General features: G+C 51.4%; 1 protein-coding gene and 1 long non-coding RNA gene across 15 annotated transcripts in view, besides 5 other annotated features; one reads left to right on the forward strand and one right to left on the reverse strand.

Annotated features, from left to right (window-relative positions):
• The window catches only part of SCTR (secretin receptor), an 84,641-nt gene that overhangs the window by 28,297 nt on the left and 29,732 nt on the right, over positions 1-26,612 (reverse strand). For 9 of the 13 annotated variants that reach the window (XR_922984.3, XR_001738889.2, XR_007079571.1 and 6 more), the window contains exons 2-4: positions 26,289-26,409; positions 10,672-10,779; positions 5,314-5,417 (exon numbers count right to left, since the gene is read on the reverse strand). Coding sequence is in view for 8 of the 13 variants with exons in the window: in NM_002980.3 (NP_002971.2) it covers positions 5,314-5,417; positions 10,672-10,779; positions 26,289-26,409 (333 nt within the window). In the remaining 5 variants the exon portion in view is untranslated. Of the gene's footprint in view, positions 1-5,313; positions 5,418-10,671; positions 12,675-26,288; positions 26,410-26,612 lie in introns of those variants that run through there. The other 4 variants (XM_047445403.1, XM_047445402.1, XM_047445401.1 and 1 more) reach the window with 4 other exon arrangements.
• Positions 5,530-6,081: an enhancer, noted in NCBI's record as "H3K4me1 hESC enhancer chr2:120231245-120231796 (GRCh37/hg19 assembly coordinates)". NCBI's record gives its function as "activates a minimal SCP1, AML or CMV promoter by ChIP-STARR-seq in primed H9 embryonic stem cells {active_cell/tissue: H9 hESC(primed)}" and the evidence as "EXISTENCE:reporter gene assay evidence [ECO:0000049][PMID:30033119]".
• Positions 6,632-7,182: an enhancer, noted in NCBI's record as "H3K4me1 hESC enhancer chr2:120232347-120232897 (GRCh37/hg19 assembly coordinates)". NCBI's record gives its function as "activates a minimal SCP1, AML or CMV promoter by ChIP-STARR-seq in primed H9 embryonic stem cells {active_cell/tissue: H9 hESC(primed)}" and the evidence as "EXISTENCE:reporter gene assay evidence [ECO:0000049][PMID:30033119]".
• Positions 8,315-19,207, forward strand: SCTR-AS1 (SCTR antisense RNA 1). Of its 2 annotated transcripts, NR_147846.1 has the most exons (3): positions 8,315-8,810; positions 16,580-16,649; positions 17,700-19,207. It is a non-coding gene; the product is annotated as an SCTR antisense RNA 1 (long non-coding RNA). The 2 variants fall into 2 exon arrangements; NR_147847.1 differs by lacking the exon at positions 16,580-16,649 and having other exon boundaries at positions 8,315-8,819.
• Positions 12,800-13,311: an enhancer, noted in NCBI's record as "H3K4me1 hESC enhancer chr2:120238515-120239026 (GRCh37/hg19 assembly coordinates)". NCBI's record gives its function as "activates a minimal SCP1, AML or CMV promoter by ChIP-STARR-seq in primed H9 embryonic stem cells {active_cell/tissue: H9 hESC(primed)}" and the evidence as "EXISTENCE:reporter gene assay evidence [ECO:0000049][PMID:30033119]".
• Positions 18,918-23,325: an enhancer, noted in NCBI's record as "VISTA enhancer hs1941". NCBI's record gives its function as "enhancer in: other[11/13]" and the evidence as "EXISTENCE:transgenic organism evidence [ECO:0001131][PMID:17130149]".
• Positions 20,504-21,423: an enhancer, noted in NCBI's record as "H3K4me1 hESC enhancer chr2:120246219-120247138 (GRCh37/hg19 assembly coordinates)". NCBI's record gives its function as "activates a minimal SCP1, AML or CMV promoter by ChIP-STARR-seq in primed H9 embryonic stem cells {active_cell/tissue: H9 hESC(primed)}" and the evidence as "EXISTENCE:reporter gene assay evidence [ECO:0000049][PMID:30033119]".

A 26,612-nucleotide genomic window follows, 5' to 3' on the forward strand; every position in this document is an offset into this window, starting at 1 on the left:
TTGCAAATAGAGTTGTTATTTTCTTTTATAATTTTTCTATACTTCTAATTTTTCCACAGTGGATAAGGGCTATTTATAACCAAAAGAAAAGGGTAATTATTTTTTTAAGAAGGCACAAGAATAGAATAGGGGAAACCTGGCTGACAGCTCTTCATGGGAAAGTAACCTTGAGGTTAGAAAGACCCAAGCTCCATGGTGTCACACAGTGTACTGTAGAGAAAGAACACAGGCTTCAGAGCCAGGAGACAAGGGTTCCAAACCCGGACTGTGACTCACCAACTGTGTGACCTTGAGCAAATTATTTAACTTCTTTGAGCCTCAGATTCCTCATCTGCAAAATGGGGATAATAATATCTACCTTGCAGACTTGTTGGAAGAACAAATACAGTGTCAGATAGAGTACCTAGACAATGCCTTGGCATGTAGGAAACACTCAGTGTATGGTAATTTTAATTTTTCCCCATCCCACCATCCTCCTTCAAAATGAGTCAGCGGTTTGAGATGGTAGGAAGTCTGAGCATGAAATGGCTCAAAAATTAGCTTTATTCTCAGTTACACTGATGGAGTGCTGTGGGCAGCTGGCCACGTGGGAATGTTTGGAGAGGCTAGGCATGTTATTTTAAGAGTCACATTAATAAACTGAAGCATTTCCAGAGGAGGGTGATTGTGTCATCTGTAGAGTACATGAAAAAACTGGGTCCATGACACCTGGAGGGGAAAAACACACACTTAGAGGAGAAAAGTGTTAGACTGAACAACATGTAGAAGAAGGGCCAGACCTCATGTGTGAGCTCCAGTTGGGGGAAGTTTCCAGAAAGGAGGTAGATTTTGACTCGGGGTGACTGATCATTTTCTGACAGCAGGAGGTGGCCTTCGATAGGAAGGCTACCATGTGACATTGAGTTCCCCACTGATGTAACTGCTCTCCTGAGAGCCAGGAGTCACCTCTCAGGGATGTGAGGAAGACCCTTGAAGGGCAGTGGGTTGCCTTGAATTAATGGTTCCTAGGCTTTGGGACATCAAAGACCTGTGAAATGTCAAAAAATTGAGGACCAATATGTTAACATATAATCTCGCCATGTACAGATGAGCCGCATTGCAGAGGGTGTCAGCCTCACTCCTGGGGATACCTGGACCAGCCTGCAAGAGCCTGAAGAGGCACAGGGTGACAAGGGGGGTGTCATGCAGAAGATTCTGCACTGTCCCGTGGCTGTGGCCATTGCTTGCCAGGTGACCAGCCCGCTTCTCATGTAGACCCGTTCTTGCCTTGTAAGGTAGGAACCATAAGACCTCACCCACCCAGAAACAGCCTTGCTCCCTGAAGGTTTCATGTGACCTTCGGTCCTTAGCTTTTTTTTTGTTGGTTTTTGAGACAGGGTCTCACTCTGTCATCCAGGCTGGAGTACAGTAGCACGATCATGGCTCACTACAGCCTCAACCTCCCAGGCTCAAGCAATCTTCCTGCCTTAACCTCCGAGTAGCTAAGACTACAGGCAAGTGCCATCACACTCAGCTACTTAAAAAAATTTTTTTTGTAGAGATAGGGTCTCCCTATGTGGCCCAGACTGGTCTTGAGCTCAGGAGTTCAAGTGATTCTCCCAGCCCAGCCTCCCAAAGTGCTGAGACTACAGGCATGAGCCACCACACCCAGCCAGTCCTCAGCTCTTAACATCTAAAAGTGTGCACCACTCCTGGAGGACATGGGGCCCAGAAGCCTCACTGTTGTCTGTCCTGAATTCAGTTGCCTCTCTTACTGCTGTATGTTCTGACTGTACCACCTGCTTTCTGTAGCCTTTAGATCATCTGTCACAGACATTTTTTGTTAAGGGACAGAGAGTAAATATTTTGGGCTCTGAGTGCCCTGTGGTCTCTTTTGCAAATACTCAACTCTGCCCTTGTCATGTAAACGTAGCCTTACTGTGGTAGGAATGGGCTTGGCTGTGTTCCAATAAAACTTTATTTACAAAAGCAGGCAGTGGAGCCTCATTGGGTCCAAGAGCTACAGTTTGCAAATCCCATTTTATTTACCCATGTGACATCTATGTGCGGTCTTACTGCCAATCTGAGTCCACTATTGGTGTCAGTAATATTGTGTGTCAATAATATAGTGGTGTATACCAAGTAAGGATGTCACAAAAAGAAAAGAAGAAAAAAAGAAAAGCAACTAATACATACCTTCACCCTCAGTTGATAAAAAGACATTTTAATAATAAGAAATAGGATGGTTTAAATCTCAGAATAAAGAACAAAACTCGTGCCAATTTGTGGACTGGCATTTAGGGACCGGTGAATCACGTGGTCAGGAAACCCTTCCAATCTCAGAGCTGTTGTTTTGTTTTGTTTTTTTAATGCAAGCTGAAGCCAAGCTAGGTCTCCTTTCCACCATTTTTGGACAATCATTTTTCTGAGTTAAGTCCAAAGCGTTACATTTTCCTTTATGAAATTTCAGCTCCTTGGTTTGGGGATTTTACAGTTTTAATCTTGGCATGAACGTTGTGGTTAAGGCCCTGGGCTCCATTATTCGTACTGATTAGTGTAAACCAACAGTTCTCATTGTGTGGATGTTTTTTCCTATTTTGGGGGCAGAGTCTCGCTCTGTCGCCCAGGCTGGAGCGCAGTGGCGAGATCTTGGCTCACTGCAACCTCTACCTCCCAAGTTCAAGCGACTCTTGTGCCTCAGCCTCCCAAGTAGCTGGGATTACAGGCACACGTCACCATGCCCGGCTAATTTTTGTATTTTTAGTAGAGACAGAGTTTCGCCATGTTGGCCAAGCTGGTCTCAAACCCTTGACCTCAAGTGATCCACCCGTCTCGACCTCCCAAAGTGGTGGGATTACAGGCATGAGCCACTGTGCCTGGCCTGTGGCTGCAATTTCTGATGGCAGTCATCTTACAATGCCAGCCTAAGGAAGAAGCCACCAGGACAGCAGGGAGAGAGATGCAAATGACACAGACCCTGGTGATTCTGTGGTGCTGCCTCATCAAAGAATCCTGAAGCCCATTCTCTGCATTTCCAGTTACGCAAGCCACATGTGCTTATTAAACCAGTTAGAAATGTGTGTTATTTGCAGTACAAAGCCTTCTTATGAACCTCATCCGGCCACCCATCATGATATTATTCCTTTTTAGTTTTATGGATTTTACAAATTTGAAACAAATAAGCCCCCTCTCTTCATATAAGTCGATGATAGAACTGTTCCTCTGCAGAAGGCAGAGCCCACTCACCATCCCTCCAAGACCACGAGTGCTCACTCCTTGTCGAATCTCCTTATTAAATCATCCCACTCTGACCAGATCTGAAGACCTCGTGTATGTTCCCAATGGGATGACAAGCCCTGGGAAGGAAAGAACTGCTTCCTCTCCCTTGGAGCTTGCCTTCCTCCACATAGAGCAAGGCTGATGCGCTACAGAGAGAGGGGTCTTCGCAAAATGCAGAAGACGGGGTGCTCTGACACACAACTTCCTCCCTTCTCCCTGAATTCTGCCACTCTCCACCCGTGCTTTCTCCCATGACCTCACCCTACCCTCCAAGGGACAGGCAAAGCTTGCCCATATTCCTTCTAGGGAGTTTAGCTAATGGGACCTGCTGAAAGTGTACTCCCTGGGCGGGGCACACATCTTATGGGGAGGTATCAGAAGACAGAGGACGGAGCACTGGTGCTTTTGGAGCTAGGCTTGGTTTAAATCCTACCTCCACTACTTTACAAGCATGTTCCTTAATCCCTGAGCCTCAGTTTCCTCTTCTGCAAAGTGAGGAAAACAATGAATGTACAGGATTATTTTGAGGATTTAATACAATTGCGCATCAAGCAGCTGGCACTCAGTAGATGTTTAAGTGCACAAACAAATATTTATTGGGCACCTCATAGGTGCCAAGCATTGTGCTGGGCACTGGGGCCTGGAAATGAACAAGACTCTCTGATTTGTCACCGTGATTTTGCCCAGACCCAACCCTGGCCCACAGCAGGTGCTCAGTGAGTGTTTGTGGAGTGAATGAATGCCTTTGAGGAGCATGTATTTTAGTGAGAGAGATGGAGGCAGGTGGCACACGCTGATCATTTTAATGTAACATGGTAGGTAATAGTTGGAGGCCAACACCAGGCTCTAAGGGAGCCCTTCCCGTGGGGAGGGGAAGAAAGGGCTGGCATGGATGGGCCCGAGGGGAGTCTCAAAGGATATATAAGAATCAGTCAAGAAAAGAGAGGAGGAAAGTGCTCTCCAGGCAAGGGGCCCTAACGGGGGCAAAGGCCCAGGTGGGAGGCAGGATGGCACAGTGTGCATGAGATTTGAGAGAAAGGGCCATCCTGGGAAAGGACAGTGATGCAGAGTGAGCTGAGCCCAGACAGGGCCCTGATGGCCACCCTCAGAGGAAGCCTCTGGAGGTCCCCAGCAAAGGTCAGCCGATTGCCGAAGGGAGCATCCCCTCAGCTAGGGCAGCTCTGCAGCCGGACTCCCTCCTTGCTTATCAGAGCCGGGAGACTCCTTCGAATGCTGTAAACATTTTTTTTTTTAAGAGACAGGGCTCAATCCTGTCCTCCATTGCCCAGGTTAGAGTGCAGCGACACAATCACTGCTCACTGCATCCTCAAACTCTCCAGCTCAGGCGATCCTCCTGCCTCAGCTTCCTGAGTAGCTGGGACTATAGGCACGCACCACCACGCTCAGCTAATTTTTAAACATTTTTTGTAGATCCAATGTTTCACTATGTTGCCCTGGCCTCAGGCAATCCTCCCACCTCATCCTCCCAAAGTGCTGGGATTATAGGTGTAAGCCGCCACACCCGGCCAAAAGCAAACATTTACTGAGCACTTACTGTGACCAGGCGCCCAACTCAGGATGCACATATATTAACTCATTTAGTTCTCTTGACAAGCCTATGTTGTCAGCATTATTAACACCATTTCCCAGATGAAGAAAGTGAGGCACGTAGTGATTAAATCTTCCCCAGCCCCACTAAGGTCAAGGTCGGAATTCAGACGCACCAGCCTTGCTCTGAGCATTTAGCCACTATGTTAGCGTCTCTTTCAGTTGAATGAATACAGCACCCCCAGTCTCGCGGTGGTATGCGACAGTTCCTACCTGTGCCTGGGTTCCTCCTAACCATCATCTCCGGGTCGATAGACCAGGGCAGTGAGGCAGACCCACTGACACCTCTGTGAGTAGGAGGCATGGGGACAGGGGGTAGCCCTTACATCCTGACCACTGTCCCAGGCCTGTGCCACCCTGTCCTCTCCCAGGGCCTCCTCTCCCAGGGCCTCCTCACCCTATAGGTTCCTGTCCCCGGGTTCGTGGGGTGGAGGTTGACAGGCTTACCCGCTTCTCGTTGGAAGAGTCGTTCACATTAACGCCACAGGCCAGATTAGGCCTGGGGAAGGTTTCTGACCAGCCATCCTGTGTGCAGTTTCGGAACAAGGAACCTGTGGGTGCCAAGAGTCCTGTAGGTGAGCCATGGGCCCAGGCACTGTGATTTTCATAGTAACATCTATTGTAACATGTAGCTGCTACAACCACTCTATAGTGTGGAAACTGAGGCACACAGCAGTTCCAGAACTTGCCCAAGACCACACCCTAGTAAATAGGGGGAAAGTGATTTGAACCCTGGGGCTCGGGCTCCAGAGCCCAAGCTCTTAAGCACACACCACGTGCCAGTCCCCCTTCTCACCCCAGCCGGGTGCTGCTCCTGATCCCAGGCCCTGCCACCGTTTAACAGGTGGGTACCCCGGAGAATCTGTGGTGGCTGCCCAGTACCTGGCCACTCCCATCATGACTTTTTCTCAGGCTCCCATTTTTACTCATCCTGCTCCATGGAAGTTCTGTTTTAAATGGAACTTCATGCCCTGCTCACTCAGCCATTTGAAAACCACCAGAGTGCCATTGAGATGAACCCCTCCAGGCAGCGCCCCTCACGGAAGGGTGGAGGGTCCTTCGGCCACGACCTGTAGGCCACCCCTCTGCATTTCTCTGCATAATAGATCGTGAGACCACCACAGTCCTCCGGCTCAGCTGCTCACTGCCCCCCACCCCTGGCACGAGGACGCATGCTGGGCCCTCTCACCACATGGGCAGTGGCTTCCCCGCCTCCCCAGTGCCTGGCCCAGAGCCTCTGCTTATCAAACGCGGGCTGGCTGGCTGGACAGAAAGGCAAATTGAATGGGGATAAAGAGCCTGCCCTGAACTCTTCTCATAGGGAAGAGGAGAGCACTTCCCCACTGGAGCTTTTACAGCAGGAGCCCAGCCTGCGGAAGGGAGCCACTAGCCAGGAGGGAAGTCTTGGAAGGCCACCGTGAGGAGTTTCCCTCCTCGGGCTGAATGGCCTCGCTGAATTCTGTACTCTGAGCTGCCAAGGAGGGCTGGGATCTGGCTCCCCAGCTCAGGCCGGTGTAAGTGTTGCAGGGGGCAGGATGCTGATGGCCGAGTCCTGTGGGTAGGAGCCCTGCCACCCCTTTGCTCTCACTGGAGCCTTAACAGCCCCAGCTGAGCGTGGCATGCTTCTTTACACAGTCTCCAGGGGCTGGGCCCCTGGCTAACAGGGTTTAGGGTCTAATCCTCACAGTGCCCCACTGAAGGAGGTGCTGCTGCCCATTTTACAGGACAGAACACCAAGGCCCAGAATTGAGCTATCATGCCCAGCCACAGCGTATGCTATCACTGTTCTACCCACCCACCGGGCCCTCTTCCTGAAGTCTCAGGGGCAGCGTCTAGGACCAGGAGACCGTGTCCTCTGAGATCTGGGCATGCCTGCCCTGTGGAGGCTCAGGAGGCCTGGAGCGCAGGTTTAGAAGCAGCCAGATCTGAGTCTGAAACCCAGTGCAGCCTCTTGGTCACTGTGTGACCTTCGGTGCATCATTTCTCTGTGCCACAAAATAATCACCCACACTGCAAGAGTGAGCAGGGAACATGAGAGCACACGGAAAATGCCTAGGCTGGTGCCAGGCACAGAGCGGGCACCGAGGCATCACTCCCCTCTCTTTTTGGCCTTTCTAAAATAGGCAGAAGTGGGAGGGGCTTGGAATCTTGGAATTTAGGCGAGGGGTGGGGAGGTTTCTGGAACTGAATCAAGAGAGTTAGGTTGTCAGATGGGAAACAACGGTGGTCAAATTTAGGCTGGGTGGATGGGAAAGCAAGTTAAGGGAACACAAATTCCCCCAAGGCCAGAATCGAAGGTTATAAGACAGCGCGTGCCTAGAGGCTGGGCTCCCTGTGGGCTCGCCCAGGGCAGCAGGCCTGCCCGTTTGGGGCCCTCTCCTCACTGACACAGCAGGACTCCCAAGACAGATGCTGCATGTGACCCAGGCCAGGTGCCCAGAGCTGCTAACAAGGCAGGGCCCCCTGCCTTCCACTCTGTAGAGCTGCAAAGCAGCTGCCTCCCCACTTCCCCAGGGCTGAATTCCTAATAGGTAAGGGAAACTTAACCAGGCACAGGCCAGTGTGCACCTCAGGGGACCCCTGAAAGGATGTTTGTGCATATATATATATATATAGATGTAGATATTTATATTATATATATAATATAAATAGATATTTATATTTATATTTGTATTATATTATAAATATAAAATAAATATATATATTATGTGCATATATATAAATATATAGATATATAGATATATATTTATGCAGTTCGGGGAAAGACTAGTCCAAAGCTTTCATCTGATTTTCAGAAGGCTCCGGGACCCTAATCAGGTTGGGAAGCATGACCGCTTTAAGGCCAGATCCTCACTAAGTAGGAAGAGAAAGAGGGCCAAGGGGATGCCGCTGGGGAATTGTGTTTTTTAATAAGGAACTCTGGAAGACCAGCGTCCTTTTCAGAATCAAAGGAATACACCCTAGAGGGAGCATTCTAGGCCTGGCATGAACAGAAACATCTGGGGGCAGAATCGGCCTGCGGTTTCTCCAGTCACATGGACCCCACCCCTCCTGTCAGGACCCATGTAGTAGGTGCCCTCAAGGAGAATTAATTTATTTTCCAGAGCACCTTGTCCTCACTGGGCGCTCCCCCTGGGGTTAGGGTTGGGGGCACCACCTAGGGAAGCCTGCCTTCCTGCCGGGAGATGAAGGGGCAGGAGTCTAATCAGACCCAGAAGTAGATCTATGGGGATGAAGGAGGGGTGGGTGGGAGTTCTTGATGATAAATTGAGGCCAGACAGCTGTTGACCTGTGCTCTTGGGCCACCCACCCCCAGGCTGGGTATGAACAACGTGGCCCCCACCACCCTGGAGGGAGCCCAGAGCCCAATAGGCAGGCCTTTGGTGTGGCCCTGCAGGCCCACAGCGACACCATGTGGCGGCGAGAAGAAACTGCAGCAGAGTCGGCACAGGACCCCAGCTTCCATCCTCACGTTGTGTGGACATGGTCCAGCTTCCTGCCGCGGACCATGAGCAATCCAAGGGTAGGGGAGCCTCAAGAGGGAGACACTGAGCCTTTACGTAATGAGGCAGGGAGGGGTTCAAGCAATTAATTGAGAAAGGATGTGACAGGACTGGCACCTGGTCACTTTGTGGCCGTGAGCACCAGCTCCGCCTATCCCCTCTGCAGGGCAGAAGGGACAGTGCTGCGGGAGGCGGAGGTGCTGTGGCTCTGGGAAGGCTGAAAAGGGACGGCTGCAAAGGAGAAGAGCTTCGAGTCCTTTCCATCAGGAGAAAAACCCGGTCAGCTGTGGAGGAGCACTGCACAGGAGTCAGAAAGTGGAGTCTGGGCGTGACCTTGCACCTGACCAGCCTGGGGCTCTAGGTCCGCCACATCTGGACTAATCTCCTGTGTCCTGAGCTCCCAGGACCCCAGAGGCAAGCATGGAGGGGCCACGCTGGCAGGTAAAGTTGGTAAGCTTGCGGGGGTGTGTGTGGCAGGGGTAGGGGAGGGAAGGTGGGAAGGAGAAAAAGGAAAAGAAGGGAGAGGAGTAGGGGAGAAGGGACAAAATTTATTTCCAAGCACAGCCTTACAGGGCAGGTCTTATTTATTTTCCCCATTTTACAGTCAAGAAAATTGAGGCTCCCCAGCAGTGAGCAACTTGGATCCCGGGGCTGACTGGCACCCAGCTAAAAGACATTTCCCCAGGTCCCTTGCAGTTAGATGTTGCCATGTGACTGAGTTCTAGCCGAGGGAATGTGGGCAGAGTGGGATCCTTCCCAGGCCCGCCCCTTATGAACCTCTGCTGTGTGGTCCTCCGAGTTCTTTCCTCTCCGCCAGTCAGCCTGGAAACTATGTGATGCCACGGTTGTGAGGTGTGGGGTGCTGGGGTCACCGTGTAGAGGAGAGCTGCCTGCTAATCAGGAATACCTGTTTCCTGTTCTGGACGTTTTTTGTTTGTTTGTTTGTTTGTTTGTTTGTTTGTGACAGAGTCTCACTCTGTCGCCCAGGCTGGGGTGCAGTGGCACGAGCTCAGCTAACTGCAACCTCAGCCTCCCAGGTTCAAGTGATTCTCGTGCCTCGGCCTCCTGAGTAGCTGGGATTACAGGTGTGCACCACCACGCCTAGCTAATTTTTGTACTTTTAGAAGAGATGGGGTTTCACCATGTTGGCCAGGCTGGTCTCGAACTCCCGACCTCAGGAGATCCGCCCACCTCGGCCTCCCAAAGTACTGGGATTACAGGTGTGAGCCACCGCACCCAGCCTGTTTTGGACTTTCTGTGGACAAATTTGCATGAAGGCTTTGAGATGTGGGGCATTGTCTGTTACAGCAGCTAGCATTACCAAGCCAGGAATTGGAGGAGCGGGTTTCAAGCCTGTCTACCTCATTTCCCCCAGTTCCCATAGTGTAGGGTGTTGAGTGAGGCTTCGAGGGAGCAGCATGTTCCCCAAATATGTGTGTGTGTGCACACATGTGCGTATGTACAGCAGAATTATGGTGAGAAGAATCTCCACTCCCTTCCCACAGTCTCTGAACCGTGGTCATCTTTGCCTTGCCTGACTTTGAAAGGCTGGTGGGTTTTAGTGTTAAATCACCTATTCTTGTTCAGGCTTCATCTGGCAGCTTTGCTGTCCTGCATGGACCAGGAAAGAGGGGCAGCTGCACAGCTTTTCTCAGTCCCTGTTATTATTACTCTTTACTGGATCAAGGGAAAAGTCCTGTGATCTGCAGGGGGTTTATGATGAATAAATGAGCCCGTATGTACATATAAAAATGTCCAGTGCATGGTCGACTTCTAATCAATGTGAGTCAACTAGGAAAATTCTTAAATCCGCAGCTGTCTTCTGGTAAGACAACCCCTCGCCCCAGGAGGCCAGGGGCTCCCAGGGAGCCAATTTCTCAGCAGGGCCTGACAGTGGAAGGAAGTATTTTGGAAGGCCAGGCCATTAGGGAGCCTGCCACTACCAGGAGGGGTTCCAGACATGGGGACTGGAACAAGGCCCCTGGTTGCTAAGGGGGCAGAAACATGGAAGGAAGGAAGAGAGCTCCTAGCTGAAGGGCCTGGGGAAGACAGAAGCAGGCCCAGCCTCCCTTATCGCCTTCCCCAGTGCACTGCCTCCTGCCCCCTTGCTTGACACCCTCAGAATTTGAGTCCACCCCACATTCCCAAGCAAGGCTTCTAATCCTTTGCAGTGATCTCCCCCATCATTGTACCCATACTTGTCCTCAGAGAAGGTTCCTTGGCCTCCTGCCTCTAAGCTGAGGCCCCACCCAGAGGGACACCCCTCAGCCTGTCCGCCAGGCCCCATGGGCCGAGTGGTTACCATTTCTGCTGGTGAGCATCCGGAGGAATCTCGGGCATTCCACCTCCACCATCCGGCCCGGCACAGAAGAGGGCCAGCAGCTTATGTTGTCCCACATCCCCTCACAACCTGCCAAGAAAAGCAGCATCAGACAAGGATGGGGGATGGACCGAGGGCTGCCCTACCATCCTGTCCACATCACCGACACCCTTGCCTGCCTGGAATTCCCACTAGACTACTTTCAAAGCTCTCATTAGGTGCTGACTCCTCAGGATCAGGAACCTATCCTGTCTAATGCACCCTTGGACTCTGCCATGTACACGGTAGTGCTCAGTGTTGAAGATAGAAGGAAGTAAGAAAGGGAGGGAGGAAGGGAAGAAGGAAAGAAGGAAGGCGCCCTCTCCTATAAGCTTTGCAAGTAAAGGTCTGGATTTCTCTGGAGCAGATGGCACATCTGTTGGCCAATCAGTTTGCATTAAACAACTAAGCAGCAATGGGTCTCCCTTCTAGCTTCATGGTACGACTACCTGGGGAGCTTTAGAAATAGACCTAGCCGGCGTGGCACACAGGGATCCTGCATGAATTGGTTTGGGTGGGCCCAGGCATCATGTCCTTTGAAAGCCTTACAGGTAATTCTAACGTTTGACTGCAGGGTTGAGAACTCTTGTCCCATGATTCTCAAACTTCAGCTTGCATCAGAGTCACCCAGAGGGATTATTAAAACACAGATTGCTCAGTAAGTCTGGGGTGGGGCCTGAGTATCTGCATTTCTAACAAGTTCCCAAGTGATGCTGATGCTGTTTGTCCTGGGACCACACTCAGAGCCACTGCCCTGGCCTATGGACACAGCTCCACAAGTGTCACCACTGTATTTGCTGCAAGAATATTATTGAGGATGTTGCTTTCTACATCACTTGAGTTCCCTTGATGAGGCCCCTCTGGAAGGAGAACCAGGTCTCAATGCAGTGAGAAGCTGAACTTATTGTGAACGACTAGTATACATAGACACTACATTTGAAGCTGGTTTCCTCTTTGATTTGGCTGCTAGGAAGCTCAGAGCCAGATGCGTGGCCCACTTCTGAAAACTGAAAGATTTTAAGATGAATAAAAAAAATTACTAGGTGTTTTCAATGCAAAACTAGGCATTGTCTAAGCACAGCCTTCTGGATTATCTGATTCAATGGGGTGTCAGGTCTTTTATTGTCTTCGAGCTACACTGCAACTCTGTAAGTTCTAGATGATTGGTAGCAATGCAAATGATTCTCGTCCATAGGCACAATAATTATTGTCCAGTTGAAATACAATTAATTTCACTTCCCTCCCTGTGTATTCAGTCAGCTTTGCATCTATTTGTAAATTCATGTTATCATTCTGCCTTATAGGTATGGTACTGTATTAGTCTGTTTTCATGCTGCTGATAAAGACATACCTGAGACTGGGTAATTATGAAGGAAAGAGGTTTAACGGACTCACAGTTTCACATAGCTGAGAGGTCTCACAATCATGGTGGAAGACGAAGAAAGAGCAAAGGGACTTCTTACATGGCGGTGGGCAGGAGGACACATGCAGGGAAACTCCCGTTTATGAAACCACCAGATCTCATGAGACTTATTCACTATCACGAGAACAGCATGGGAGAAACCTGCCCCCACAATTCTATTACCTTCCACCAGGTCCCTCCCATGACACATGGGAATTCTGAGAGCTACAATTCAAGATGAGATTTGAGTGGGGACATAGCCAAACCATATCAGTTACTTTGAATGCTATGAACCAGTGATAAGATCTTACTGAGTCCCTCACAAATTAAACAAGCTGTTCGGCAGGTATTCATTTTATATTTGTGTGTGAGCTGTGACTGTACTGTCTTTTAAGACATCATTTCACATAACAACTCACCAATTCTCCCAAAGTTGATCCAAGGGCAGCCACACAGGGAAACTGCTTCCTGCAACAGACTTCTGGAACCCGTGCCCTCTGAGAGGTCATCGCTGGGGTCAGGCTTGGAAGGGGCTAGAAATGAGCTGAGGGACACCCATGAGGCGAGCCGCAGTCAGCGCTCCTCCCGTTTGGGGAACATGGTGCAGGGCAGAGCCCAAAAAGAAAGAGCCAGGACTCAAGTCGGCCGACCCGGCCTCCAGGCCTCCCCCACCTTGCCAGCTGCCCTGCTCACTTGCTTATCTCTTGTGGGAGGACCGGCACCTCCCTCCTGAGGCTATCCAGAGGAAGAGCTCAAAGCCCAACTGAAAAGCCTGCCCAGAGCAGGCACTGGGACTGGCAACCCCTTTCCCGCTGGCCTCCCCAGGCCTGTTCCTTTTTCATCTGGATTCAGGAGGTTGGACTAGGCTGGGTCCCCTGAATGGCAATTCTTAGCTCTGGGGACTGGGCGATGGATGCGGTGTGCAGACATTGCGGGAGTACCCAGATGGCAAATGCTCAGCTTTTTTAAGGAGCAAGAACCTGTTTTTAGGCATCAATCTGACCAGACCCAAAGCATCCATAGTGTCCTTGACCCCTTCATCCCCTCTAAGTGAAATCTCCCTGGTGACCTGTCCCATTGCAGAAGTGTGACCCTCCAGCCTACATCAGAATGAGCTGGGTGCCTGTCAGAGATATGCAGATCTCTAGGCCCCAGATCCTCCTTGTGAGACCAGACCCAGGAATCTGCATTTTAAGAATTCCCCAAAAATGCCGCTGAAGTGGTTCCAGGGCTTGCTTTGAGAATTTCCACTCTGAGTCTCCCTGCTCCTCACAGCTGAGGGTTCCTCATTTCTAGGCTTAGCCCTACCCCTGGCTCCCAGGAGCAATTCACAGAGAGTGAGACAGGCAGTCACAGACCCACCAGTGGGGGTCACTACCAGCTGTGTCTTCACCTTGGTACCTGGGTACAGATGCCTCCCCCACCACCAGGCAGAGAGCCCAGGAGAGCACGCCCCTGTGCCTACGATGGGCCAGGCATAGCACAAGTGCTCAGCAAACACAGCAGATGAACAAATGAAGGGACGCCAGCTGGAACCACTGCCTCCCACACCAGTCCCGCCAGGCATCCCTCATAAACGGGCTTTCACCTTGACACCCAGTTGACTTCTACATTCTGCATCCAGGGCCTGCCAGCTCTGGTGCTGTGCTGATGGGGAGGAGCCCTGTGCGTCCCACACTTGAGCTCCTGTAATCCCATGGCGGTGCCCCCAGTTCCCGATGTGCCTGGCTCTACCCCCACTTTATAAACGCAGCAATCAAGCAGAGCCAGAAGTGGCTTCCCAGGCCACACAGCCAGGACATGGAGGGGATGAAAGCTGTCTCCACCCAGCCCTCCACCCACCTGACCAGTCTCCAGGTGACACCGGCCCCAGCTGCCAAGTGCCCTCCTTGTTCAAGCCAGGCTCTGGGAACTGGAGAGGGACAGAAGGGGTAGGGAACGGTAGGGTGGGCCGGGCCAGGGCCTGGGTTAGGGGGGATGCTGGCCTAGAGCGGGGCAGGTGTGGCCTGTTTCTCCCTGAAGAGAGGCCCAGCCCCTAGCAGGAGAGGGGAAGTGGGAGGGCCCAGAGAGGAACCCAGTCCTGAAATCAGGACGCCTGTGGGGGCTTTGGAGGCGGGGCAGTCCCAGGAGCCACAAGGGCAGGCTGCAACCATGAGCAAGGGTGTCGTAGAATTGTAGAGGGACACAGAAGGCAGTGTGTGGGCGGAGCTTTCACAGGACAGTGGAAGCATCTATGAGGCCAAGGGGCAGGGGTCTGTGTCCTTGGAGGCATATGGGAGATGAGGAACTCCTTGGATGTTCCAGAAGCTTCACCTGCAAGAGGAGGAGCCGGAGCTTCTCTCTGCTGTGCACTCCCCAGGGACGGCTCCGCCACTATCCCGAGGCTGCCCGTCTACATTCCAGCTGTGGACGCTGCTGGCTGGGCCTGAGCAGGGTCTCGGGAACTCAGCAGGCCTGCCGGGTAACCCTGGGCCTACCCAGATGCCTGTGGGATGGGGACTTGGTCCTGAGGACCCTTTACGGACAGCCCACTCTGTGTCTCCGTGCTGACCTAGCCTGGCACCTGGAGTCTCAGGAGGCCAAGGGTGACCCAGAGCCCTCTTTCCCTGTGCGGCCGTCTCAGGGTTGCAGCAGGATGCCTCGTTTCAAGTTGCAGCTCCCCTGCCAGCTCGGGTCAGCCTCTCTTGCATTGGAAGCAGCTGGGGCATTTCCAGAGCATGGAAAAAGGCAGGAGCCTTTTGCCTCACTTGTGGAAAAACAGATTCAGTGCTGGCTGGACTGGCCAGGTCAGCCAGGGTACCAGCCGCAGGCTCCAGGCCATGAGGCTGGACAATGCCTGGCTGGTTGGCCAGACAGATGTGGACGGTGCCAGCACGTCTGAGAGGCTTCCTAACTTGGGTCACGTCAGGCAGGGCCCCCAGGGATGCCTGGGGACAGGCCATGCCAGGCCTGTGCTGGATGCACATCAGACATCCTGGAGCTGAGGTTGACAGCAGCTCAAGGGTGAGTAGGGTCACTGCCCCACGGCGGAGATGAGGAAGCTGAGGTTCCAAGAGGGGGAAGTGAGAAGTGTGGGTGACAGAGCTGGTGATAATGGAGCTGGGATCCCACTCAGCCTTCCCATCTCCCCAGCCTGGGACAGGCTGCCTCCTCCAGGCTGGCCTTGGTGGCAGCAGACCTGGCTGCTAGCCCCCCACAGTGTTGATCGTTTCCTGAACACGAGTGACACTGCCTTGTTCTCTCCCAGCCCTGGCTCCAGCGTCTGGGCACAGAAGGCACAGAACAGACCCAGGGTTTCCCAGCGTGCGATGAGCTCACCACTCACTGGTGGCCTGTGCTTTTGGCTGGTACATGGTTGAACATTTTTTCATAGTTGCACTTTTTTAAAGAAAATGTGTATTAGAAACATTATAAAACTAGCATATCACATCTGTGATTTTATAGCTACTATTGTTTAGGATGAGGCTAAGTTTTTTAAAAGTCCATTGATTGAAAGGAAAACATATGAAGGAAATCATAGCACAGGAGGTGCGTGGCTCTAGCCAGGCTGGAGGGAATGTGGCTTGGGGGAGCTGGACAGTCCCTGTGGCCTCCTCAGTGCTTGTGGAGGCTGCCTTGCACGGTCCCCAGGCTTTGAATGCAGCATCTCAGACTCCACTCCGGGACTCCCCAGTCCCCCAAGCCAAGCAGGAATGGGAGGCAGGGGAGAGCGCTCCCAGCTTAGCTTCGGATACCTGTCCTGGCTCTGGCCTTCCCAGGGAGCCCTGGCAGGGAAGGGACACAGCCCAGGACTAGGGTCATCCTGGGCAGTTTTAGTTCCAGAGCAGCACAGCTCACTGCCTGACTTGGGGGTAAGCGGCATTCATTGAGATAGGGGATGGGGGAGCTTTGTCAATAGGGCCACACTTACTGAGCCACGAGGGAGGGGTCACCGCCCCAGGAGAGCCAGGGCTAGAAGGAATATACATTAGCTGTGTGGGCAGGCAGATCCAAAGCATGTGAAGAGCAGGGCTTCCCACGCCTCTGTCGTCTCTGATGGCCACCTCCGCCACCAATTGTCTGGCTGGAGGGGATGGGATGGAAGGCTGGGAAGTTTAAGTGGGGAAACAAGAGAAGACAATGCCACCACCTGGGGAGGAGGGGTTGCCTGCCCCAGTGCCCGTGGCCCAGGAGGACAGCATGGGATACCAGGTTGAGGGAGGTGGTATGGTGGAGATAGAATGGGCTTTGGACCCAAGCCTACTTTGGGTATGACACTTAACCTCTGTGAGCCTCAGTTTCCTCATCTATAAAATGGGCACAGTAATATTTCCCAGGATTTTTGAGAGAATTAAATGATATGTGGGTGCGGTGGAATACTTTCTGATCCATCAATCTCTTCTTTTTTCTTCTCCTGTTTTTTTTGTTTGTTTGTTTGTTTTTTGCCTTTTCTCTCTCCTTCCTCCTCAGATTGAAGTCACAGAGAAAGGCAGGAAAACTTCCTGGCTTAGGTTTCCAAAGGCCTCTGGGGGATGAAGAGGTATGCTGGGATAATCAAAGCACTTGGGAGAAAACAGAAAAAGAGCAAGAATTCCCAGAGACTGGGGAGAGATGGAGGGGAAGTGATGAGCTGGGACATGGAGGGTTCCAGAAGAGGTGCAAATACCCTGCTGCCCAGCCAGCCCTGAGGAGGTGGGATGGCCCAGAGGAGAAACAGCTGTGGGGGCAGGTCTAGATGGGCAGACCACACACAGCCTTGCCGAGCCCATGCCTCCCGGCAAAGCACAGGAGGGGCCAGTGGCCCAGGATAGACAGGGCTCTGCCAGTCACCACCTGTGACTAACACCATCATCAGCTGCAGGCGAGATCCCCCTGAACGTGGTGGTGCTACGTGAATCTCTAGCCACCTGGGAAAATTGCAGGGGAAGATCCAGAAATGTCTGCCATCCCAGGAGAATGCAATCAGAATTAAAGTCAGAAAACGGAGAAAGTTCTATTTTTGCCCAAAGGGGTTTATAGATAAAGATTCCTGGTCTTTATATTTGTGGAGCCCCTGGCCCTGGGCCAGGTCTGAAGCAGACCCAGCAATGTCAGCTTCCTCTGTCCTGCCCACAGGGATAGAGAGGTGGCCCCAGAGGCAGGTCTGGGTGGGTTGGGGGAGGACTGAGAGAGGGGAAAGGGCCATCTCAGAGGGCAGGACAGTGCCTGGGAGTTTGCCCTGCATTCACCTGGCATGGAGCCTCTATCCTCCAGTCCTCTATTTATAAATAAGCTCAGATGGCCTGATAAAAACCTGGGACTATTTCTGGAGCAATGTGTCAGGCTGCAGTGGCAGGGGGCCAGGAACAGCCCGGCCCCCGGGGCCATGCTGAACTGGGCCACTCACACCCCTCCATGTCCCTGGTGCTCACTTCATCGGCTGATGGGGTCACCAGGGAAGCCACAGCTCCTCTTTGTCTTGGCCTTGTGTCTGTCCTCTCCTACCTTCTGCTTCTGCCGGTGTTTGCTCTTTCCTCTGCCCGCGGACCGCCACATCCATCTCTCAGGCACTTCCACTGCTCACCCCCACTCATCCCTTTCTCCTCCCCAGAACCCACAGTGGCTTAGGACGAGCTCCTGCACAGCGGCCTGTTTCCCAATTGCATCGTGTATCTCTTTGCCTCTCTTGGCTCAGCCATGGCCCCAGCCCCAGGCCATCCAAGGGGCAGCCTGGTGAGGTTTCTTCAACTTTGCTAATGACTTGACCTACAGTCTTAAGTCAAGAAGGTGTCGCTCTCCTTTGTGATGGCTGGACGCACAGGAGCTGTGGTCAGGATGGGGCTAGAGGAGCTGAAATCCCAGGGCAACAAGGGTATTTAAAAACACATCGCAGGAGAAACAGCTAAAGAGTCTTGGAACCAGGAATCATAAGCTGTTTGATGGGATGAACTATCTTGGGAGTGATGAGGTCCCCATCACTGAAAGTATTCAAGCAGAGAGAGTCATGGAATTAGGAGACGGAAGAGCATCAGACACTGAATGAAGTCTGCACTACATGAGATGAAGAACCCTTCCAGCCCTGAGGCCGAGCAGCCACTTCTCTGGAGCAGGCTGGCCCATCTATGTCCAGGAGGCCAGCCCCAGGCTAGCTTCTGAGCACGGGGAGCTAAGTCCTTCGCCTTCCAGAGACTGCACAAAGTGTGTGCCACCTCCACAGAACCCTCCTCATCCACCCGAGAACTCTTCCTCACCTGACCTAAAGCTCTTCATTTCATACCACCTTTCAAGCGAATTAAGGATTAATTGCCAGCAGCAATCTCTGTCTTTGTTTGTTTTCTCTAATGGAAAACCTTTCTCTCGGGAGGGTAAGGTTATCAGTCATTCACAGCTCAGTTGTGCTGTGTTTGATTAGACTGGACGGCAAAGCTGAGTCCTGTTTCGGCTCTGTGCGATCCTGGGCCCCTTGGAGCCTGTTTTCTCATCTATGAAATGGGAGTAATAATAGTGCTTATTGCACAGTTGTTTTAAGAACTAAAAATTTAAATTGCCTAGAATGTTATACAAACATAAGCTGCCATATTTTGGAAAAATGAGCCAAGATCAGTGGTGCCAAGGGAAGAATGGGCAGAGGTGAGCTGTGGGCAGCCGTGGAGGATGGTCCACGGTGTGGCTGCCAGAGGGCATCGGGGGCCAGGCAACTCCAGAAAGGAGCTAGGAATGTTAGAGAAAACTGCACTAACAGCCAGCATGCGTGAAGAACTGATTCATACTACACCGTGGATGAACCTCAAGAACATTATTCTCGGCAAAAGCAGACAGACACAAAAGGTCACATAGCAAATGCTTCCGTTGATATGAAATGTCCAGCACTGGCAAATCCACAGAGACAGAAAGTAGATTAGTAATAGCCAGCGGCTGCAGACAGGGAAGGAGGGGAGTGATGACTTAATGGGTACAGGGATTTTATTTTGGGGTAATGAAGATATTTTGGAATGAGACAGAGCTGGTGGCTGCATAGAGCACTATGAAAGTGCTAATTGCCATTGAATTATTCACTTCAAAACAGTTAATTTAACGCTATGTGAATTTCACCTCAATAAAAAAGGTACAAAATAAAAAGCCTGTTTTCCTGGACCCATGCTCTGTGGAGTGGGCAACCAGCAGGTAGAGACAAGAAGGAAAATGGGATGTCATGACCCCACTTGAAGGCAAGGTCACTAAGGCTCAGAGAGGACCAGTGTCTTGCTCAAGGTCACAGAGCACCTGTGTGACACAGCAGGACACATGCCCAGGTCTGTCTGACTGTCAAGCCCACACCTTTCCTGTCACCACACTGTCCTTCTGGAACATTCTTCCCCTGGGGAGAGCCATGGCCCTTCCACCTGCCAGCTCTGAGGGGGTATTGGCCTCTGTAAACAAAGTAATAAATAGCCCTGTGGGGCAGGCCGTGCAGCTATTAGGGTGACCCTGAAACGTTCCCAGAAAATGCCAGTAAGACCTTGGCCACCTAACCCGGAATGGCTGAAGAGTTAATTTTTTATTTGTGATAAGTGTGGCGGGCTCGGTGACAGCTCCTTGAGTGGTGTTTCCTGTGACTGGTCTGGCGTTCAAACATTAACCTCTACCCCAGGGAGCTTAACCATTAACCCTGCACCCTCAACGGAGAGCCCCAGCAGCCCCTCCCCCCACACAGGTGTCAGGATAGAGTCTCGGTGCTGGGAGAGGCCCCCTGGACACCAGATCTAGGCCTTGGCCATTTCTCCTCTTAGTCTTTTAGGGGATTTTTCCTCAGACATCACACCCGCTCCACACTCCCAGATGGAGCCCTTGGCCCTGGCTTCTGACCCCCTCAGTGGGGCAGATCTGAAGACTTTTCCAGCAGGCAGAGTCCTTGGGCCTCTTTGGAGCTTTAAAACCATGTTTTCAAAGTAACAGATCCCCTTTCCTAAATGCACACTGCAGAAGGTCACTATGCAAAACAGATCCCAGTGACAGCTGTTTGTGATGGGTGGGGGGCCAGCTGAGCCACCCTTTCACCCACCTGCACGCTGGCCCTCCTTGGTTCAGCCGCCAGGGCCTGGCCAGACACCACAGCTCTTGCAAAGCCAGGGGAGCCCTTTTCTTAAGCAGAGTAAGGTCCGGAAGAGAGGGGTATGGTCAGGGCTTGCCCAGGTCCCCCCAGTGAGTGTGAGGCAGAAGTCAGGCAGGAATCCCCAGTGAGCTTTCTCAGCCCTGGATGCACGGTCAGGACCTGGCGGAAAGCGCTGGTTCACTGCATGGGGAGCCTTAGGGAAGAAAGATGACCGATTCTGCTCAGATCGGTCAACCTGGAATTGAGACATGGACGTGGGTGCAACTTCCCGGAGTAATGTGAATGTGCACTTGGCATTGGTAAGGTGACTGGGCAACAGGTTCGCAGAAGAGGCGCCACCCACAGGCAGGGCTGAGGGCCTAAGTGAACACCAGCCATTCATGGCAGAGGTCAGCTTGGCTGCACCGAAGGGCTGGGACAGAGAGGCCATGAGAGGAGCTTCTGCCTTCTTCAGGTAGTCATTCACTTATTCTCCACAACAGCGTCATGAAGTTGATCAGATTATTTTCCCCACTTTAAAATGGGCACATTGAGGAGTGGGGAGAATCCTCTAGCCCAAGAGCCCCATAAAGGAAGAGTGGCACCGACTCCGGCTGACTCTATTTGCTTTCTGCCTGGCATTCAGCCCTGCTCATTTCGTCAGATCCAGCAGTGAGTGGCCTCACAGCAGACCCTCTGCCGCCACGGGGAGAGTCTTTTCCTCGAACCGTGAGAGCCCAACAGGAATGCTGGGTGCCCAGAGGGGAGCAGGAACCCCATCTGGCGTGGTCACTAGTCAGAGCCTGAGTGGGGCAGGCAGAGCCGGCTCACCACTCCATAGGGGAAGGCCAGGGAAGACAGGGACTCACCTCTCTCCCCCAAGGTTAGACCCTGGAAAGCATCCCTCCACCGGTGACCAGGACCACGTTGCTCGCCTCAGCTAATTTGTGACAAGTTGGGCAGCTGGTGGCATTTGTGTCCTCTGCGGGGGCCTCACCTGCCTCCAAGGCTCCACCTCATCTCCCACTCTCTCCTTGGGGCCAGCTGTCTTTTGTTTTATCCTTTCTCCCTGCTCTCAGTCATGTATCTGCCCTCATTCACTCAGTAAGTCAGTCAACAAACACACACTGAATACTCGGTCTGGCAAGCCCTGTGTCAAGCACTGAGGAAGAAAGAAGGCGACACTGTAGCTGCCTCAGGCTGGGGCAGGGACAGTCCAGGAAACACACCTTTACAGTGCAGTGCAGAGGTGCGAGACGAGAGAGAAACAGTATCCTGCAGGAGTCGGGGTAACTCGCTTGACCAGGGGAGCTATGGGCATTCAGACATCATTCCTAGAGGAGTCTGAAAAGGTGGGTAGCTTCAGAGGGAAGAAGATGGAGAATGGTGTTGTAGCAGAGCAGTCTGCATGTGCAAAGGTTGGAGGCAGGAAAGAAATGGACAGGCAGGAAATTGCAAGCAATTTGGTTGACAGTTGAGCTGATTGGCAGTGTTTGGGGTGGAGATGTGGACAGGGGCCAAGTCAGGAGCTGGGCCTCATCCTGGAACCACTGGAGAACAGTGGGACATTTTAAACACATGTTATGTTAAAATAATCATCCCTTACTTCTCCGTGTAAACGAAAGTTCACCATCAGCCCCACCAGAGACTCCGCATTCTAGGCCCTATCTCACAGGGCTGCTGTCATTGGAATTTCAGGCATTGTCCTTGGGGACAGGAGGTGGGGGACACCCACAATTTGGCTGCACCTCTGGCTGGCCTTGTTGGTGCCTTGCTTCCTGCTGTCCCAGACGCAGTTTCCGGGGGTAGCAGGAAATCAGAAGGCTCTCTTTGGTGCCCCCATGAATGCCATAAGACCATGGTCTAGCTCCCCAAGTGCAGTCGGAGCCAGAGGGAAAGTGCAGTCAGGTAGAGGGAAAGCAAAGGCTCAAACTGTGGGAGAGATGTCTGTTCTGTCCCTGTCCCTTGCGCAGTGGCCGAGTGCATGGGCTAAAGCACATTTGCAGCATCCATGCTGCTGCCTCCGCTGCTCACAAACCCTCATGTTCCTCTGCTTCCAGCTGCTCCTGACAAATGAGGGCCGGGAGTGCTCCAGGCTGGCTCCTGGGTTCTCTTCCCTTCCCGCTCCTGCACTCTCCTGGTGCAACCTCAGCCTCACCTGCCGCCTATGCGGAGGTTTATCCCCAGCCTTCATCCCCACTCTGAAGTCTCACCTCTACACGTCTAAAACTACATGTGTGATTTTTTATCTCCTCTCCTCCAAAATGCTGATCTTCCTTTATTCCTTCCTCCAATTGCTCAAGTCAAACACCTGGGGGCCATCCTGGATTCTCCATCTCTCACCTCATTCCCAGTCCAGCTCATCACCATGTGTGGTCAGTGTCCCCACCCACACAGCTCTGCCACGGGGGTGTACCTCTCCAGCCCTTGCAGTGGAACCTGCTTGTAACTCCTTAGCCTTAACCTTTTCTGGGCACACCAATCTCACTTTCACCCACTGGCCCAGTATCCCTTTGTCTGGGGGCTTTCTCTAGCTACTGATTGTCCCTAAGCACAGCAGGCTGGAAGTGCAAGGGAATGAAAACTGCTCGCTCTGAAGCAGCCCCATCTCTGACTGACAGGGCACTGGTGGATGCATCCTCCAGCTCCTGTGCGACTTGGAGGCGTGTGTTCCACAAGTGCCCACAGTGATGATGCAACATTTGCCAGCTTTCTTCTCTTCCCTGTCTCGGTTCCCAGTCCTACAGATCTGGCCTGGAATCACCTGCTTCTGGGGAATCCAAACAATGACATCGTATCCAGTCCCAATGATCATATCTCTTGCCTAGACCACCAGGCTCACAGCGAGTCTCTCTGAACTACTCATGTCCTTTTCCAGTTCACCTCCCACACTGTGGCAGAGGTGATCTTTTCATAATGCAGACGGTAACACTCCTGGCCTCCTAAGACTCTCCAAGGCTTTTGCTTCTCTTAGGATAGGATGAAAATCCCCCAAGGGATGATGAGCCCCTGTGGTCTCATCCTGCAGCAGGATCCCTCATGTCTGTGCCCAGCAACCACCAGTCAGGCTCCGGCCTTGGCTCAAACGTCATTTCCTCAAGAAAGCCCTCGTGGAGGCCCAGGCCAGGTGAAGCCTCCTGATTAGACACTCAGGCAGACCCACATACTGTTCTTATCTCATCATTTTACATGTTTCTTTCTTTCTTTCATTATTATTAATATTATTTTTTTTGACAGAGTTTCACTCTTGTTGCCCAGGCTGGAGTGCAATGGTGCGATCTTGGCTCACTGCAACCTCAGCCTCCTGGGTTCAAGCGATCCTCCTGCCTCAGCCTCCTGAGTAGCTGGGATTACAGGCGCCCACAACCACACCCGGCTAATTTTGTATTTTTAGTAGAGACAGGGTTTCACCTTGTTGGCCAGGCTGGTCTCAAACTCCTGACCTCAGGTGATCCACCTGCCTCGGCCCTCCAAAGTGCTGGGATTACAGGTGTAAGCCGCTGTGCCCGGCAATCAATTTCTAATCACTTGATCCATGTCTCCCTCACCAGGCTGAGTCATGGGGACAATGGCAAAGGCTGCCCACTGCCATCCTTCTCTTCTTTCTTACTAGGAGGACCTGGTTTTGCTCCAGGTGGCTACATGCACAGCTATAAACTCAACCTGCAACATCCATTGCAGCTGGGGTGGCCATGCAGTCCTATTCCAGCTGATGAAGTATACACAGAAGTCACTGGAGACACTGGAGAGTGTCAGGAAAGTCTGGCTTCCCAGTATATCTCATCCTTCCTTCTAGTGAGTTTCTTCTACTTCCTGCCAGAAATGCAGGTATTCTTCTCTCCTCCCTGAAGGTACAGCAGCCATTATATGACCATGAGGACAGAAGCCACACATTCAGGCAAAAGAGAGGAATCTGGAATATGGCAACATCTTGGAACTTTGCTCCAGCTCTTTTTGTAATATGCAACAAATAAATTCCTGTCTGGTGAAACCAGTGTATCAGGCTCCTGCCACACACTGCAAAACGCATTCCTAAGTGATGAGAGCACAGCCGACAACGCTTGTTTCTCACCACTCACCTGACACCACCAAGTGCTAAATAAGCATTCTTTGAATGAATGCTTTTCATTTCACACCAACTCCATAAAATAGATGTCAAAACTGAGGCCTTGTTCAAGATCAGTCTGTCTAATTTAAAAGCCTGGGTTCTGTTTATTTTTCTTTCCCGCTGTCTTTCTTTTCAAATGGAAGAAAAATCATATAACATAACACTAACCATTAACCATTTAAAGTGTACAATTTAGTGGTTTAGTACCTTCATAATAAAATATTGTGGAAACATCACCTCTATCTAGTTCTAACACATTTTTACCAATTCCAAAAGGAAACCTGTACCCCTCAAGCAATCACTTCCCATTGTTCCTTCCTTCAGCCTTGGCAAGCACTAATCTAATTTGTCTCTACAGGTTTGGCTCATCTGCACATTTTATATCAGTGAAATCATACAGTGTGTTCCTTTATTTTACTTTTTTAATATTTATTTATTTATTTATTTATTTATTTATTTATTTATTTATTTATTTTGAGACAGAGTCTCACTCTGTCACCCAGGCTGGAGTGCAATGACATGATCTCTGCAGCCTCTACCTCCCGTGCTCAAGCGATTCTCCTGCCTCAGCTTCCTGAGTAGCTGGAATTACAGGTGCCCACCACCATGCTGGCTAATTTTTGTATTTTTAATAGAGATGGGGTTTCACCATGTTGGCCAGGCTGGTCTTGAACTCCCGACCTCAAATAATCTGTGCACCTTGGCCTCCCAAAGTGCTGGGATTACAGGCGTGAGCCACTGCACCCAGCCACAATGTGTGTCCTTTTGTATCTGGCTTGTTTCACTTAGCATTATGTTTCAAGGTTTGTCCATGCTGTAGAACATATCATCACTTCTTTCTTTTAAAGGCTGAATAATATCCCATTGGATGGATAAACCACATTTTGTTTATCCATTCGTCAGTTGATGGGCATTAGGGGTGTTTCCACTTCTTCATCCTTGTGAAGGGGGCTGTTATGAACATCCATGTACAGATGTCCATTTGAACCCTGGCAGTGGGTTCTTAATGCTATACCCCTCCTTATCCTTAGATGACAGAGAGCAAAGATGAGACGTTTAGTAAGGGAATAAAAATAAAGTTAACATTTAAATATAAACTTAGTGCTTAAAGTGTTGATTAATAATAATAATTAACATTTAAATTAGCAATATTTACAAGGCAGCTGTATTTAACACACTTTATCTCATTTATCATTATAATCCTGAAGAAGACATTATCACCTCCATTCTTCTTCTTTTTTTTTTTTTTTTTGAGACAGAGTTTCACTCTTGTTGCCCAGGCTGGAGTGCAATGGTGCCATTTCAACTCACTGCAACCTCTGCATCCCGGGTTCAAGCGATTCTCCTGCCTCAGCCTCCCTAGTAGCTGGAATTACAGGCATGCGCCACCACGCCCGGCTAATTTTGCATTTTTAGTAGAGGTGGGGTTTCACCATATTGGTCAAGCTGGTCTCGAACTCCTGACCTCAGGTGATCCACTCACCTCAGCCTCCCAAAGTGCTGGGATTACAGGCATGAGCCACCACGCCTGGCCACCTCCATTCTATAAATCAGAAAATGGAGACTCAGAGGGCTAAATAATTTGCCTGTGTTCACACAGCCGGTGAGTGTCACCTAGCAGGCAGGCCACACTACTGTGGACCCAGGCTGCCTTTCCTACTACCTCACTCATGGAGCTGGCAGGGAGGTGGGAGGATGAATGAGAGGAGAACTGTCTTGCAGAGAAATTCCCACCAAGCTCTTACGTTGGCCAAGTCAGCATGCAGAAGCTGATGATAGGAAAACACCGGCTATGTTTACTTGCCCAGAGAAAGGAAGAGTGGTGAGGATCTGGCTTTGGGGTCCATGCGATCTGCTCACCAGAACCACTCCAGCCCTGCCCCACCAGCTGATTGTCTGAGTGAGAAAAGCTGGACCAGCCTCCCACATCCCATCCTGGCCCAGGATAAGCTCCCCCTGCCCAGCAGGACCGGACATGCTCCACCCCCAAGAGAGGACATGGGCTGTGGCAAGCCTCATACCTGGCACTGGCTGCTCCGTGCCCAGGTCTCCTGTCTGCTCTCTGGAGAGTTCCTGCAGGCACTGGTCTTGCTCTTCCCACAGCACTTGTAGCACGTCACATAGTCGGGGAAGGGCTCCAGTCTGCAAGTCCAAAACCAGGGATGCTCATCATTGCCACTAACTCAATTTTGCCACATGGGGGAGAATGGGGCAAGACAATGCAGATTCAATGGGGATTCAAGTAAAGCAAAGCCCTTGCCTGCAAGGATCTCCTGGTCTGCAGGAAAGGTGGAGGCAGCCACTCCTGGGAGAGAATTCAGAACACAGCTGGGAAAGCTGGGATG

Source organism: Homo sapiens, chromosome 2, assembly GCF_000001405.40.
Source record: "Homo sapiens chromosome 2, GRCh38.p14 Primary Assembly".
NCBI lineage: Eukaryota > Metazoa > Chordata > Mammalia > Primates > Hominidae > Homo > Homo sapiens.